Here is a 15,399-nt window from a genome sequence, read left to right on the forward strand (position 1 = left end):
AATTTTAATATATGGTGAGAGGTAGGGGTCCAGTTTCATTCTTCTGCATATGGTTAGCTAGTTTCCCCAGCATAATTTATTGAATAGAGTATCCTTTCACCATTATTAATTTTTGTTGACTTTGTTGAAGATCAGTTGGTTGTAGGTGTGTGGTTTTATTTTGGGGGTCTCTATTCTGTTTCATTGGTCTACATGTCTATTTTAGTACCAGCACTATGCTGTTTTGGTTACTATAGCCTTGTAGTATAACTTGAAGTCAAGTAGTGCGACGCCTCCAGCTTTATTCTTTTTACTTAAGATTGCCTTGCCAACTCAGGCTCTTTTTAGGTTCCATATGAATTTTAGAATAGTTTTTTTCTAATTCTGTGGGAAATGATATTGGTAATTTAATAGGAATAGCATTGAATCTGTAGATTGCTTTGAGCAGTATGGACATTTTTAATGATATTGATTAATGAGCATAGAATGATTTTGTATCTGTTTGTGTCATCTATAATTTCTTTCAACAGTGTTTCACAGTTCTCTTCATAGAGATATTTCACCTCCTTTGTTAGATGTATTCCTAGAGATGTTTTTGTGTGCGCCTATTGCAAATGGGATTACATTCTTGATTTGGCTCTCAGCTTGAACATTATTGGTGTATAGAAATGTGATTTTTGTACATTGATTTTGTATCCTGAGACTTCCCTGAAGTCATTTATCATTTCTAGGAATCCTATGGTGGAGTCTTTAGGATTTTCTAGGTATAGAATCATATTGTCAGTGAAGAAAGATTATTTGACTTCCTCTTTTCCTATTTGAATGCGTTTTATTTCTTTTTCTTGCCTGATTTCTCTGGCTAGGACTTCCAGTACTATGTTGAATAGAAGTAGTGAGAGTGGACTTGTCTGGTTCCAGTTCTTAGGGAAAAAAAAGCTTCCAGCTTTTGCCCATTCGATATGATGTTGGCTGTGGGTTTGTCATAAATGGCTCTTATCATTTGAGCTATGTTCCTTTGGTGCCTAGTTTGTTGAGAGTTTTTATCATGAAGGAATGTTGAATTTTATTGAAGGCTTTTTCTGTGTCTAATGAGATGTTTATATGGTTTTTGTTTTCAATTCTGTTTATGTGGCAAACCACATTTATTAATTTGTATATGTTGAACTCTCCTTGCATTCCAGGAATAAAGCCCATTTGATTGTCGTGAATTAACTTCTTGATGTGCTGCTGGGTTCAGTTTGCTAGTATTTTGTTGAGGATTTTTGCATCTCTGTTCTTCAGGGATATTAGCCTGTAGTTTTCTTTTTTGTTGTGTCTTTGCCAGATTTTAGTATCAGGATGTACTGGTTTCATAGAATGAGTTAGGGAAGAATCCCTCCTCCTTGATTTTTTGGAATAGTTTCTTCAGGTTTGGTACCAGTTCTTCTTTGAACATGTGGTAGAATTAGGCTGTGAATCCATACAGTCCAGGGCTTTTTATTGATTGGTAGGTTTTTTATTACTGATTCAATTTCATTACTTGTTGGTGTGTTCAGAATTTCTTTTTCTTCCTGGTTCAACTTTGGGTGTTTGTATGTTTCCAGGAATTTATCCGTTTCCTCTAAATTTTCTAGTTTGTGTGCATAGAGATGTTCATAGTCATCCCTGAGGATCTTTTGTATTTCTGTGGGATTGGTTGTGATATCACCTTTGTTGTTTCTCATTGTGCTTATTTAGATTGTCTCTCTTTTTCTCTTTGTTAATGTAGCTAACAGTCTATGAATCTTGCTGATTCTTTCAAAGAACCAGCTTTTTAAATCTTGATTCTTTGTATGTTTTCTTGGTCTCAATTTCATTTAGTTCTGCTCTGATTTTAGTTATTTCTTTTTAGTGCTAGCTTTGGGTTTAGTTTGTTCTTGCTTTTCTAATTCCTTCAGGTGTGAGGTTAGGTTGTTAATTTGCAATCTTTCTATATTCTTGATGTAGTCATTTAGCGCTATACACTTTCCTCTTAACACTGCTTTTGCCACATCCAGGGGTTTTGGTATGTTGTGTCTCTATTTTCATTTCTTTCAAAACATTTTTAAAATTTCTGCCGTTAGTTTTTACCCCCAAATAATTCGAGAGCATGTTTTTTAGTTTCCGTATGTTCATGTACCTTTGAGAGTTCCTCTTGGTATTGATTTCTACTTTCATTCCACTATGGTCCAAGAAGATCATTGGTATGATTACAATTTTAAAAAATTTGTTGAGACTTGATTTATGAATGAGCAGCTGGTCAATATTAGAGTATGTTCTGTGTGCAGATGAGAAGAATGTATATTCTGTGGTTGTTGGGTAGAATATTCTGTGGAGTGTTCTGTCTATTAGGTCTGATTGTTCCAGTTTATATTTAAGTCCAAAATTTCTTTTTTAGTTTTCTAGCTCAATAATCTGTCTATTGCTGCTGGTGGAGTGTTGAAGTCCCCCCACTATTATTGTGTGGCTGTCAAAGTCTTTTCTTAGGTCTAGAAGTAATTATTTTATAAATCTGGGTACTTTAATGTTGGGTGCATATGTATCTAGGATAGTTAAGTCTTCTTGTTGAATCGAACCCTTTATTATTATGTAATGCCGTCTTTGTCCTTTTTTACTGTTGTTGGTTTAGGGTCTATTTTATCTGATACAAGAATAGTGATTTCTGCTCTTTTTTGTTTTCCATTTGCATAATAGAAATTTCTCCATCTTTGAGCTTATGGGTGTCATTACATGTGAGATAGCTCTCTTGAAGACAGTAGAAAGATGGGTCTTATTTTTTAAATCCGATTTTCCATTCTGTGTCTTTTAAGTGGAGCATATAGGCCATTTATGTTCAAGGTTAATATAGATATGTGAGGTTTTTTTTTCCCTGTCATAGTATTGTTAGCTAGTGCTTTGTAGTCTTGATTGTGTAGTTGTTTTATGGAATTAATGGGCTATATGTTTGTGTGTGCTTTTGGGGTGGCAAGTATCATTCTTTAATTTCCATGTTTAGAACTCCCTAAGCATCTCTTGTAGGGCCAGTCTGGTGGTGATGAATTTCCTTAGCAATTGCTTGTCTGGGAAATACTTTATTTTTTTTGTTGTTGTTTATGAAGCTTAGTTTGGCAGGATATGAAATTCTATGCTGGCATGTCTTTTCTCTAAGAATACTAAAAATGAGCCCCCAATCTCTTCTGGCTTGTAATGTTTCTGCTGAGAAGTCTGCTGTTAGTTCTGATGGGTTTCCCTTTATAGGTAATATGAGCCTATATTATCTTTTTCTCTAGCTGCCTTTAAGGTTTTTTTCTTTCATGTTGACCTTGGACAGTCTGATGACTATCTGCCTTGGGGATGGTCATCTTCTATAATATCTCACAGAAGTTCTCTGGATTTCTTGTATCTGCATGCTAACCTCTCTAGCAAAATTGGGGAAATTTTCCTGAATTATATCCTCAAATATGTTTTCTAAGTTGCTTACTTTCTCTTCTTCTCTCTCAGGAATGCCAGTACATCATAGATTTGATCACTTTACATAATCCCATGGTTATTGAAGGCTTTGTTTATATTTTGATTATTTTTAAACAAAGTTTTGCCTGACTGGGTCAATTCAAAGGACCAGTCTTCAAGCTCTGAAATTCTTTCTTCACCTTGGTCTGTTATTAATGCTTCTGTGTTTTAAAATTCCTGAAACAACATTTTCAATTCCATAAGGTTCTGCTTGGTTCTTTCATAATATAGCTATGGTGTCTTCTAAATTTTGGATTATTTTTCTGTTTTCTTTGTGTTATATTTCAACTTTATCTCAGCATTGAGTTTCTTTGCCATCCATATTCTGAATTCTATATCTGTCATTTCAGACATTTCATTCTGGTTGGGACCCATTGCTTGGGAGCTAGTGGGATCCTTTGGAGATGATAAAACACTCCGGCTGTTTTTATTGTCCGAGTACTTCCACTGATTCCTTCTCATCTGAGAGAGCGGATGCTGCTGCTGCTGCTGCTGCTTCTCCTTCTCCTCCTCCTTCTCCTTCTTTTTGAATTTGCTATTGTTTGGATGGGGCTCCTTGATTTTTTAATCTTTTTTTTTCCTTTGGTTGTATGGCTGTGGTATTTGTAATATATATATATGTAATAGATTGGCTGCATTTCTGGGTGCTTTAAGGGTCCTAGCTCTGCACAGGTTTCTTGGTTGCAGATAGGTTCATGCAGTGGCTTTCTCAGATGGGGCTTGTTGTAGCAATGCAATTTTCTTTGGTTATGTAATTCAGGCTGCAGTCTAGTAGATGGAGCTTAAGGGTAAGAGCCAGCAGGTAAAGATGGGAGCAGAGGAAACAGAGAAGCACAAAAAATACTCACTCCCAGTGCACATTAGCCTTCAGTGGAGGTGGAGCTACTAGAAAAGCCTGAGAAGCAGACTATTTCAGCTCGTGCTCCCTAGGCCCTGATGGGAATAGGTTGCTGCTGAGTCTGTGACAGTGCAATGAGGAAGGTGGGGTGAGAGAAGATTCCTCTCCACATCTGTTTTTGGGCTACAGTGGTGCTGCCTCCAGTGTCTGGTGCTGTGCTTGTGTTTCTTTTGACCCAAGGGGGTCTTGGGTGGGCTGTGCTCTCTCCTCCCTTAGGGGTAGTCTGTGCTAAGGATTAGATTTCCTCGGGAGTGGGGTCCGTCTCCCTCCTGCTCCTTGTAGCTGGTAGGGCCCTGTCCCCCAACTGACCAAGGGAGCAGGCTGGGGGACCTAGCAATGACACACTCAGACTGCTTCCAGATCACAAAGCTGTCTCTGCTGCAAGTCTTGCAGCCTGGGAGAAACCTAGACTTCAGCAACTCTCCTCCCATTCCTGTCCTGCAACAGGAGAAAGTCTAATTCAATGCCTACTGCTGGGGCACTCTCCACACTTGCCACTTAATTCTGGCTGTGCGGGTCCTTCGCCAGTTCCAGAGCAAGCACTGGAAACTCTGGCCCAAGACTACAATGAATGTTGTAGCCACCACTACCGGGTTGCCAAACGACATCTCTAAACTCCCCAAATGGTTCCAGGTGTGGATTTGTGACTGGAGACGGTGGGACTCCTCTCGGGTGAGCAGCATGGGCAGGAAGCTGTGGGGAGTGCAGTCCACTAAATTCTTAGTCTCACAGCAGCCTATAGCAAGGCATTGGGTATTTTCCTAGATACGTATAGGGGAGCCTGGCTTGCCTGCCCCTCCTTGGCTGGGTGGTGACCACATCCTCGTCAGCCTGAGTTCAGGTTGAAGGTAGGGTGCAGCCTGGGATTAAACTCTCAAAATGGCCCCAGAACCTGGGACTGGAGAGGGTGGGGCACCATCCAGGCAGGAAGCATGAGCAAGAAGCTGAGGGGAGTGTGGTCTGCTTGCATCTCAGTCTCAACAGCAGCTCACAGCAGGGTGGCAAGTACCCTCGCGGGGGTGCATGGAGGTACCTGCCCTCTGGTCTCCCTCCTTGGAGCAGTGCAGTGGCTGTAGCTATGTCTGTAAATCCCTGGTATCTAGGCTCAAATCAAAATGGCTTCCAGCTGAGGCTGCTCCAGGCTTGGATGCCTGTAGGATTCTGTGTGGGTTTTCTTTCTGGAGCAACATCTCTGTGCAGTCTTTAGGCAGCTCTGTATGTATGTCAGGCACAAGGGGCTAGTGGGCAGAGGGTTTCTCTCAGAGCTAAGATCATAAAAGCCTGTTTCGGAGCTCTGGAATTTCTCTTTTACTGTTTCCCCATGTCCGGGAGCCTCTCCCGGCTGTCAGTCAGTTCCTGGCTTGGCAAGCTGCCTCAGACTTTTTCCTAACTTACTTCTGGCACTTCCTATGTCTTCTCTGATGAATTCAAGCATTCTCTACAAATGATATGTTTGAAAGGTAAGTATCTACTTGCTATTTTGGCTTTTATCCATGGAGCAGACATATGCTACCTGTGTCCCCTCCTCTGAACACTTCAAACACAGCTAAACATCCCTCATCTCAGGCCTTGGTTCTTTCCTGGTGAAAGTGAAGGCTTGGGGCAATTGTGTGTCAATAATGAGAAATTTGGGTTTGGGATTTTTATCTTGCTGGATTCATATGATGAAAATAACACTATTAAAAAAATACTTGTTGATGCAAAGTACTTTTCCTATACTATCTTATTTAAATCATACACTTGAGTACAGAGAGGTCAAGTAGCTTGAATAAGATTGCAGCTAATATGTGATAAAGCCAACCCAGCTCCTCAGACTTGGGACCTGACCCTCTTCCCCTTCTACTTGAACATGCTGTTTGTATAGGTTCTCATCACCAGGAACTTTTTGTAAGAAACCCAAATCCCACTTGCTGTAATATGAACCTATTTATTTTTGTTCTATCCTCAGTGAATATAAAAAAGAATACTCAATCACCCCCAAATTAGAGGTTTATTCCAAAGTGGTAGGTTTACCTCATATAGTGTTAGGATAATAAGGCCTTAAGTAGAAAACATTGAAAGAGACTAGCAAGTTTTAAAAGAGGCTTTAATCATGTGATCGCATTTCTCATTTCCAAGCAAAGTGTGTGCACATGTGAGTGTTTGAGGCTGACGTGATAGCCCTGTGATTGTCCCTTCTTCCACTTCTATCCAACATGCAGAACATTTTCAACCTAAAGTATAAAACTGTAGTGAAGGATGTAAAAGTGTAAATCTGGGTGCTCACAAGTATCATCAGCTCCTGGAAGAAATATCGTATATTTTCTATTTCTGTTCTGCTCATGGATCACCCACATGTCACCTTTTCTCCACCCTGTCCTCGATGATGTGTGCTTTTTTGGGCTGAGCTCTGAGAATGAGGTGTGTAGATTAAAATTGTACTGGGACTCTGGCCTGGCCTAGAAGAAAGTTCAGGAGTGAGTGTCAATGTTGTGGTTGGGACTCAGTCTGGTTGGAGGGGAAATAGTTGACTAATGGAAGGAGGCAAAGGCAAATCCTGAAACAGGCAGGCTTGGGAAGCAGGGAGGCCCTTAACCCAGAGGCAGGAGAGAAAAGTCTTGATTTAAATGTTCGAAAAACGGACTGAAAATAAATCAGTCTCTTTTATTAGTATACGGCCTAAATTTACACTTCTAATGTCACCACCAAAGAATAACCCATTTGTTCTAAAAGGCTGGCGTCTTTAGTTGGCTTGGTTATCCAGTGAGGGAGATGTCTTTTCTGGGTAGACATCCTTGGTACATTGTGGATAATGCTGTACCTTCCAAGTGGGTTTACATCTTTTTTTGAGGAGCTCAGATTTTTATTTCACCTTAACTTGGAGCAGGTAGATTATTTAGGACTTCTGCTTCTCTTCGTTTTGGTTTTCTCTTTGGGAATTTTGCAGCTCCTGGACTGGAAAGGGATTGGGCTTGGTTTTGCCAGGCTTCTCTATGGAGAAAATATGACATGCCTTGATGCTCATTTCTCTGAGCCTGAAACATATTTTACATCATAATTGGCTTTGAGGGTTTTAGAAACAGGACATGACCAGCTTTTTTGAAATTAGAATGTTTGTCAGGTCATACCTGATGAAGAAAATATCAGAAATATGAACACTAAGGTAGAAATTACTTTAGAGTGAATGTTGGTTGATGGAGTCATTCGTTGCATTAAACAGATATTTATTGAATGCCTGATACTGGGAACTGAGTAATAAGAAAAAATAAGGTGTTTTCTGTTTTCTTAAGAGGCCCACAGGAGCTGAGAAGGCAGCCAATTACCTGTAGAAAGCATGATAAGTACTATGGACGTTTTGCTTTGCGTTAGGAATTTCAGTACAATGCTGCAGACAAAGGTCTCTCTAACCAATATTGTCCTCTAAACAGGAGTATTTTTCATGAACAATCTCATATGTTAGCCAAGGTTATGTTTGTTCCTGTAGGTTACCCATTTCACAGAGTGTAGTTGTTTTGATCTATGTCAAAAACAACCTATGTGCCCTGTATCCCAAAAGACATTAAAATGGCTTGGCCTGTTTTCCCCACACAGGCTTAGAAGCATTACAAATACTGTATATTGTTAAGTTTGAAATGCTAAAGAGAAAATTTTCAGTATAGAATTTAATCAGCCAAACTTAATTTCTTCTGGAAGAGCTAAATATATAAGCTATTGTACAGTTTTAGATTTCTGGGAAAAATAAAACCTTACTTTTTATTAATTAGCATGATAATTTTTTCAAAAGTGACCAGACAATTGTTTTAGGATAGCTCCTATTTAATATAGTTTCCAGAGGGAATATTTGCTCTGAGATGTGAGAGCTTCCTGTTTCTTACTGGAAGCCCAAATGAGAATTCAAAGTATGTATGTGTGTGGTAGTGATGGTGGGGGCACCCATTACTTTCCAATATATCAGTATAACTCCTTATTCTTATTCATTATTATTCACTTGGTTCCTCTTACAATATGAATAGAAGGAGAAAAACATTTATAGATTACTTAAAACATTTTATGAGAAGAAAGGGAACAAATTAGCCCATTTGAATCACTAGCTTTGCAGAGGAGAATGGGCAGAAGATATATTTAATCTTTCATCAAAGACTTTATTCGAAATTACTAATATACAGTTTCACTCAGAACAGCACTAAATGAGTTATTAGGACATTTAAACAAGATCATCATTGTTTTTATTAGCAGCATTATTCCTTACTCCTTTTGTTAGAAAAACACCCTGCAGTGTGTGCAAATCTGTTTAATTGCAATGCTTTTACATTTTCTTTCAAATGTAGTTGACTTATTTTATAAATATTTCAAGTACATAATTGCTATTTTGCTTTAATGAAATCACAAATGTATTTAGATAATCTAAGAGGTTAGAATACATTGCTCCTATGTCAGGTTTGTAGAAGAAGTAAGAATGACTTATTGACTTTATTGACTATGATCCTGAGGGAGAGTCTTTCACCCTATGATCCTCCTTTGTAGTAAACATCTGTGGCATTGCATACACCTGGGCTTCAAGCCCAGTTCTTTAACTTACTAGTTGGTGTGATCTTAGGTAAGTTCTTTATCTTCTTTGAGCTTCCAGAATGTTCTGTAGATTTTATTGAGTATAGTAATATGAACTTGCCAGACTGATAGGAGGATAAATAGATAATAAAGTACCTAAGAGAGGGCCAGGCAAATAGTAAGTACTCAATCAACGTTAATTTCTTTCCTTGTCAGCTCCTTTTGATTGATAGAGGAGACTTGCTAAAGAGATTCTTGAGGTTCTGATCCCAGTTGTCAGTAGAGATCCATCTTCTTTTCTTTATTACTGAAGTTAAGAACTCTAGATTTAATCCAAGACCATTCCTTCTATGTGCTGTGCAAAAAAAAGCATGTCTTTAGTCATATGCATCCTGTCTTTGTGGTTCAACAGTGGTCACAATAGCAAACGTGAAGATATCGTGCTGATCTGGAATAGAGAAAAGTGGAACAGATGTAGAATTTGGGGCTTGGCTAAGGCTGCTGGGAAATTTGCATTAGGTGGCCTAGCTGGGAATCCAGAAAAGCAGGTGTTTTTGCAAGGATATGACCTGGGGTGGTGGTGGTGGTAGTGGCATGGGGTGGTCCAGGAGGCCACAGGGTACAGGGCCTCTGCCCCCCTTTTACTGGGGCAGAGGAAGCTACGTGCATCCACAAAGAATCCATTCCACAGCCAGTGATCACTATTTGCTCCTAGAAAATATCTAGGAAATTATCCATGTTCTTATCACTTAACCCTATAACTCTAAGTCCACACAATGCTCATTGACACATTGAAATGAAACCAGTTGCTTCAGTTAATGATGTAATCCAGTCACTTCCCATATAGGCACATCTTTCTTAAAGCCTCATGCTGGAGAAGATGGGTTGGCATGATTGTGTGGCTTTCACGTGATACTGTCCTCTGGGGAGGCATAGGAATAACGTCGCCTCGAATGTATGACCTTGAAAATGTGTGATGTACAATGCATTCCTTGGTACTGTTGCCTAGAGAATAACAAGAAAGTACTTAATGTGGTTGTTATTTGTTCCTTGCTACTTCCCTGGGCAAATTTCCATTCCACCTTAGAGGTATGGTGGAAACAGAGGCAGCAAGGCCAAATCTTGACTGTCCATCAGTCGTTTCTGAGATTTGGAGCAACCAAAGGCTGACCTGGGCATTTCTGCTCATTCCAGGATGGGCTTAGAGATTCACCAGGCCTTCCTGAGAATGGAAGTCTTTTCTGTACTTCTCACAGAGCCCAGAGTGGCATCTATACCACAAAATAGTTGCTCACTATGGATCAACTTATTGGATGAATAAAAGTTTTTCTGAGATAAGCCCTTTTTATATTTGCCACTTATACTTGTGGACAGTTGTGCCTTGCATTGTTATCATCATCAATATCATTGTAATTGTCATTAACAGGAAACACCTGTAAGGCAATATCCAAGGTGTTATGCAAAAAAGAATGAGAGACACAATCAAAATAGAACTTTTGAGGGCAATGACCAAGTCTTTTTTTGTTAACTTTTATTTTAAGTTCAGGGGTACATGTGCAAGATGTGCAGGTTTGTTACATAGGTAAACGTGTGTCATGGGGCTTTGTTATTTCATTACTCAGGTATTAAGCTTAGTATTGGTTAGTTTTTTTCCTGACTGTCACCCTCCACTCTCCAATAGGCCCCAGTGTGTGTTGTTCCTGTCTATGTGTCCATGTATTCTCATCATTTAGCTCCCACTTATAACTGAGAACATGTGGTATTTGGTTTTCTGTTCTTGTGTTAGTTTGCTAAAGATAATAGCCTCCAGCCCCATCCATGTCCCTGCAAAGGATGTGATCTTGTTCTTTTCTGTGGCTGCATAGTATTCTATGGTGTATATATACCACATTTTCTTTATCCAGTCTATCATTGATGGGCATTTGGATTGATTCCATATCTTCGCTATTGTGAATAGTGCTACAATAAACATACACATGCATGTGTCTTTATAATAGAACGATTTATATTCCTTTGTGTATATACCTAGTAATGGGGTTGCTGGGCTGAATGGTATTTCTCTTTAGGTGTTTGAGGAATCACCACACTGTCTTCCACAATGGTTGAACTAATTTACACTCTCACCAACAGGGTATATGCATCCCTTTTTCTCCACAATCTCGCCAGCATCTGTTACTTTTTAACTTTTTACTAATAGCCATTCTGACTGGTGTGAGATAGTGTCTCACTGTGGTTTTGATTTGCATTTTTCTTTTCTTTTTTTTTTTTTTTTCAGACAGAGTCTCATTCTGTCGCCCAGGCTGGAGTGCAGTGGCACAATCTTGGCTCACTAAAACCTCCGCCTCCCGGGTTTAAGCAGTTCTCTGCCTCAGCCTCCTGAGTAACTGGGATTACAGTCGTGTGCTACCATGCCTAGCTAATTTTTGTAGTTTTAGTAGAGACGGGGTTTCGCCATGTTGACCAGGCTGGTCTCAAACTCCTGACCTCGTGATCCACCCATCTCAGCCTCTCAAAGTGCTGGGATTACAGACGTGAGCCACCGCATCCAGCCCTTGATTTGCATTTTTCTAATGATCAGTGATGTTGAGCTTTATTTATCACATGTATGTCTTCTTTTGAGAAGTGCCAGTTCATGTTCTTTGCCCCCTTTTTAATGGGGTTGTTTGCTTTTTGCTTGTAAATTTAAGTTCCTTATAGATACTGGATAATACAACTTTGTCAGATGGATACTTTGCAAAATTTTTCATCAATTCTGTAGGTTGTCTGTTTACTCTGTTGATAGTTTCTTTTGCTGTGCAGAAGCTCTTTAGTATAATTAGATTCCATTTGTCAATTTTTGCTTTTGTTGCAATTGCTTTTGGCATCTTCATCATGAAATCTGCCTGTGCCTATGTCCTGAATGGTATACCTAGGTTGTCTTTCAGAGTTTTTATAATTTTGGGTTTTACACTGAAGTTTTTAATCCATCTTGAGTTAATTTTGGTATAGACCAAATCTTAAACGACTTTTTATTTCTAGAGCTTAGCCCAGTGCTTGTTGCATAGTACTGGCACAGTAAGTTGTTGAATGATGACACCTGAAAAAGTGAATGTGTATGATAAGAACAGATCAATAAAAGAGCTGCAATAGCTGAAGAGCTATATCTTACACCCCATTTTCCCTTTTATTTAATCAAACCACCTCCCCAGCACTTCCCACCCCACATCTGAAATAACTCTCTTTTTCTTTCATTTGAGAAAGGAGTGTATATTCTATCCCAGTGCTGTTACTTGGATCTATTAAGGGAAGCACAGGCTATAGTGCTGCTGTAATGCTAGGATTTTGGCTGCCTTGAAATTTAAGAGAAGAATTCTTTCTAATACTAGAAATAGATCAATATTGAGCTCCTGCTTTTTCTCTGTGCCCAGAACACCTACTGAAATCAGGAGGACCTGGCAGTGTGTGGGAACAGTGGAATGGGGGCCTTTGTCTGTTAATTTGATTTTCATTCTTTCATTTCACTCCAAAGGTGATTCTGAAAAATAAATGCATTTATAAGGCTATTAATAACCATATTTTCCTCTTGATCATTATGATTAAGTTGTTGGTACTGCCAGGTGCCTGCTGCTCCCATCACAAAGCCCTGAACAATTTTGCTTCATCATTTGACTACACTGAGTTACTCTATGTTGGAGGAGTTGCTGCTGATTTTTTCCTTCTCCTGTCAGTTGATTTAAATTCACACTGGAAACAGAGAATCAAGTTTAAAATAATATTCTAAATCATAAAAGTCATTCTTTGGTTAAGGAACAATAAGTCAGCTTTCCTTTTATTAGACTATTCCCAAGAAGGGTTTCATGGTCAAAATGTCACAGCTGGGTTTTTTTCCACATTTTTTCTTCTTCCATCCTGAGTGTCTCATGATCCAGTTGTTCGTTGAAGCCTGCAATCCCTGAATAAATATTCTCCTCATTGTATTTACTGCAAAAATGTTCCACAGATCTCCATGAGTTAACTCCCCAGACCCCAATATTCCAGTTCATGCTTTGCAGTGTCATGGAGCAGATCAGAGTACACACCCTGCAGAAAGATGCCCAGTTTTGAGCCCCAGCTCTGCCCATCTACTTGCTGTGAGATTACCAGCCTCACCAAACCTTTGTTTCTTCTTATGAAAATTAGAATCATAATAGTATCTACCTCCTCAGTTGGTGATGAAGAGTAAAACTTTCCTGGAATACTGACAGTGCTCAATAGATGGTAGTTTTATTATTGTGAGAATGAGAAAAGCAGTTCCCAACATCCAGCAGCTGGACAGACAGCAAGAGTTCTTGGTGTTCTCCTGCTGAAATAAACATTTTCACAGGATATCAGCATTAGACAAGGCCACTCTGTGATCGTGAAGGATAAAGAAAAAAACCAAGACCATTGTGTAATTATGTTTCAACACAGATAAATTATGGACATTGTCCAAGACACAAAACTGACCAAACATCCCTTTATTCTGGCTAATATGAATGACTGCTGATTTTTTTAAACCAATTATGGCTTTAGCCTGGCTCTCTTCATCCCTTTTTCCACATAAGATTTATCACGATACTTAGTCATAGAAGTACTTTTGCTTCCTGATAGTATCCAATCAACAGCAAAGTCCACTTCCTTAAACCCTCCCAAAAATCACCTAACAGGACCAACATTCTACACTAAATCCTTTCTAATACTTTCTTACTGAGACACTCCATGGTTCCTCACTGTGTGTGTTCTCTCTTGCCACAGCACATGATTCAACTACACGTGTATTTCTGGTAGTCTCTGTCTGCAGGGCATTGACAGCTACTCCTTTTGAAAACCACAAGTCACAGGATTTAAAGTCATATAGCAAGGAAAGGACATTTTGTGACCTTGGATAAGTTATTTAATGTCTCTGTTCATTTTCCCACTTGTTAAAATTAGGGGACTGAGCTCATGCATTCTATGTGCCTTTTTAGCACTAACATGCTATGGGTATCTGTGTCAGACACTTACCAACATTAGGAGTGCTGTGGAACAGAAATACTTAATGCAGGAATGTCCTCAAATTCTGATCTTTCCTAGACTGCCAAAGAAAATCCTGTAATTCCAAATTCAATTTATCCCCTCCTCCCACCTCTTCATGAAAAGGAGCTCTTTCTTTCTGGGAAATAGGCTAATATGCTGAGAGTAGAGGAAGGAGAAGAAGGAAAGAAAACCACGTAGGCTGGGAATGGAGAAGGAGATTTTCTGGGAATCACAGAGACTGATAGAGACATGGAAACACCAGAGAGAAGTGGCTGAGAGGAAACAGGAAAATAAAGCATTGTGTAGATCATGTATTTGTATCCCTTTTATTGCCTTTAAAAAGTAGCAAGTAAATAATAGGATTGATTATTGAGTAATCTGGGTTGTTGAATAGTGTGTCCTGAAGAGAACATTCATCAATAATTGAATGTGAGTTTATAGGATTTGGGGAACACATTTGTTATATAGTCAGAGAACCCCCCAAAGAAGGCCTGTTTCTCCTGGAGAGCTTGCCACTTTATAGTTAATAAAGGTAAGAAGAAGCTTCTTTTTCAAACATTTTCAGGATTTAACCATTCACAGCTTCTCCTGATCTCCATTCGGAAGGACCCATAGAGTCCAGCCCTTGTGTGGGCGATAATGAGAATGTGCTTACATGGAGCTGGATGAAAGAGGCAGAAATCAGTATCACTAGTTTAAAGGTTTATGAGGCTTAGTTAATTAAAGCTTTTAATTTGCACGGGAACCCAAAGAAGCTAATCTTTGTCAGATCCAAACAGTAAGATGACTAGCCATTCTGGTTTTCCCATAATGATGAGGTTTCCTGAGATGGAGAACTTCCAGTGCTAAAACCAGGACATTCCTAGGCGAACTGAGATCAACTTAGCATTCCTCTTCCTCACAGACTCAAGTTTTCTTCCATTTAAAATGCTGTTACAGACTGAATGCTTCTTTCTAACATGTTCCCTGTGCATCAGATCTCTGCTAAATAATGGAGTCCTAGAACTGGAAGGGATGCTTAGATGTCATGAGGTCATCCACTGCCTTCCAGTAGGTTTCATTCAGCTGGGCTGTTTAGATCATCTGCTCCTAAAAAACGATGTGCTGGGAAACAGAGTCCACAGATAGTGTAGAGTCTGATACTTAGTCTGTAATTTTATAATCCTTACTATTTGCTATTTGAATATCTTTCATATTATGTGGTTTCTTTTTTTCTTACACGTTATTATAGGATTGAGAGGTGTGGCTGCCAGTTTCTGCAGAGGAATTATGGAGGTTGAGTTTAGAAGTTCATGGTTCTAGCAATAGCCATGGTTTGGGGGGAAATTACTGCTTTGTTTTGGCAAATGTAAATATAAGTTTTCAGGAAATATGTGCCTAAATTAAGAGTGCAGTGTTTAGACGGTTCCCCCAAACTGCTGTTAAAACTATAAGGAGATTGGCTTGTCTCATTGATAAGGAAGAAAGTTGCTAATATTTTATTTCCTGCTTGTTTT

The 15,399-nt window shown here is 39.2% G+C and overlaps 3 annotated features.

The window, feature by feature from the left end:
- Positions 3,853 to 4,022: an enhancer, noted in NCBI's record as "experimental_73994 CRE fragment used in MPRA reporter constructs". NCBI's record gives its function as "activates a minimal promoter by MPRAs in K562 erythroleukemia cells, with activity observed for both the introgressed and non-introgressed 4:129336481 variant alleles {active_cell/tissue: K562}" and the evidence as "EXISTENCE:reporter gene assay evidence [ECO:0000049][PMID:34662402]".
- Positions 4,644 to 5,145: an enhancer, noted in NCBI's record as "H3K27ac hESC enhancer chr4:129337187-129337688 (GRCh37/hg19 assembly coordinates)". NCBI's record gives its function as "activates a minimal SCP1, AML or CMV promoter by ChIP-STARR-seq in primed H9 embryonic stem cells {active_cell/tissue: H9 hESC(primed)}" and the evidence as "EXISTENCE:reporter gene assay evidence [ECO:0000049][PMID:30033119]".
- Positions 5,146 to 5,645: an enhancer, noted in NCBI's record as "H3K27ac hESC enhancer chr4:129337689-129338188 (GRCh37/hg19 assembly coordinates)". NCBI's record gives its function as "activates a minimal SCP1, AML or CMV promoter by ChIP-STARR-seq in primed H9 embryonic stem cells {active_cell/tissue: H9 hESC(primed)}" and the evidence as "EXISTENCE:reporter gene assay evidence [ECO:0000049][PMID:30033119]".

The sequence above is a fragment of the Homo sapiens genome, chromosome 4 (genome assembly GCF_000001405.40).
Source record: "Homo sapiens chromosome 4, GRCh38.p14 Primary Assembly".
Taxonomy (NCBI): domain Eukaryota; kingdom Metazoa; phylum Chordata; class Mammalia; order Primates; family Hominidae; genus Homo; species Homo sapiens.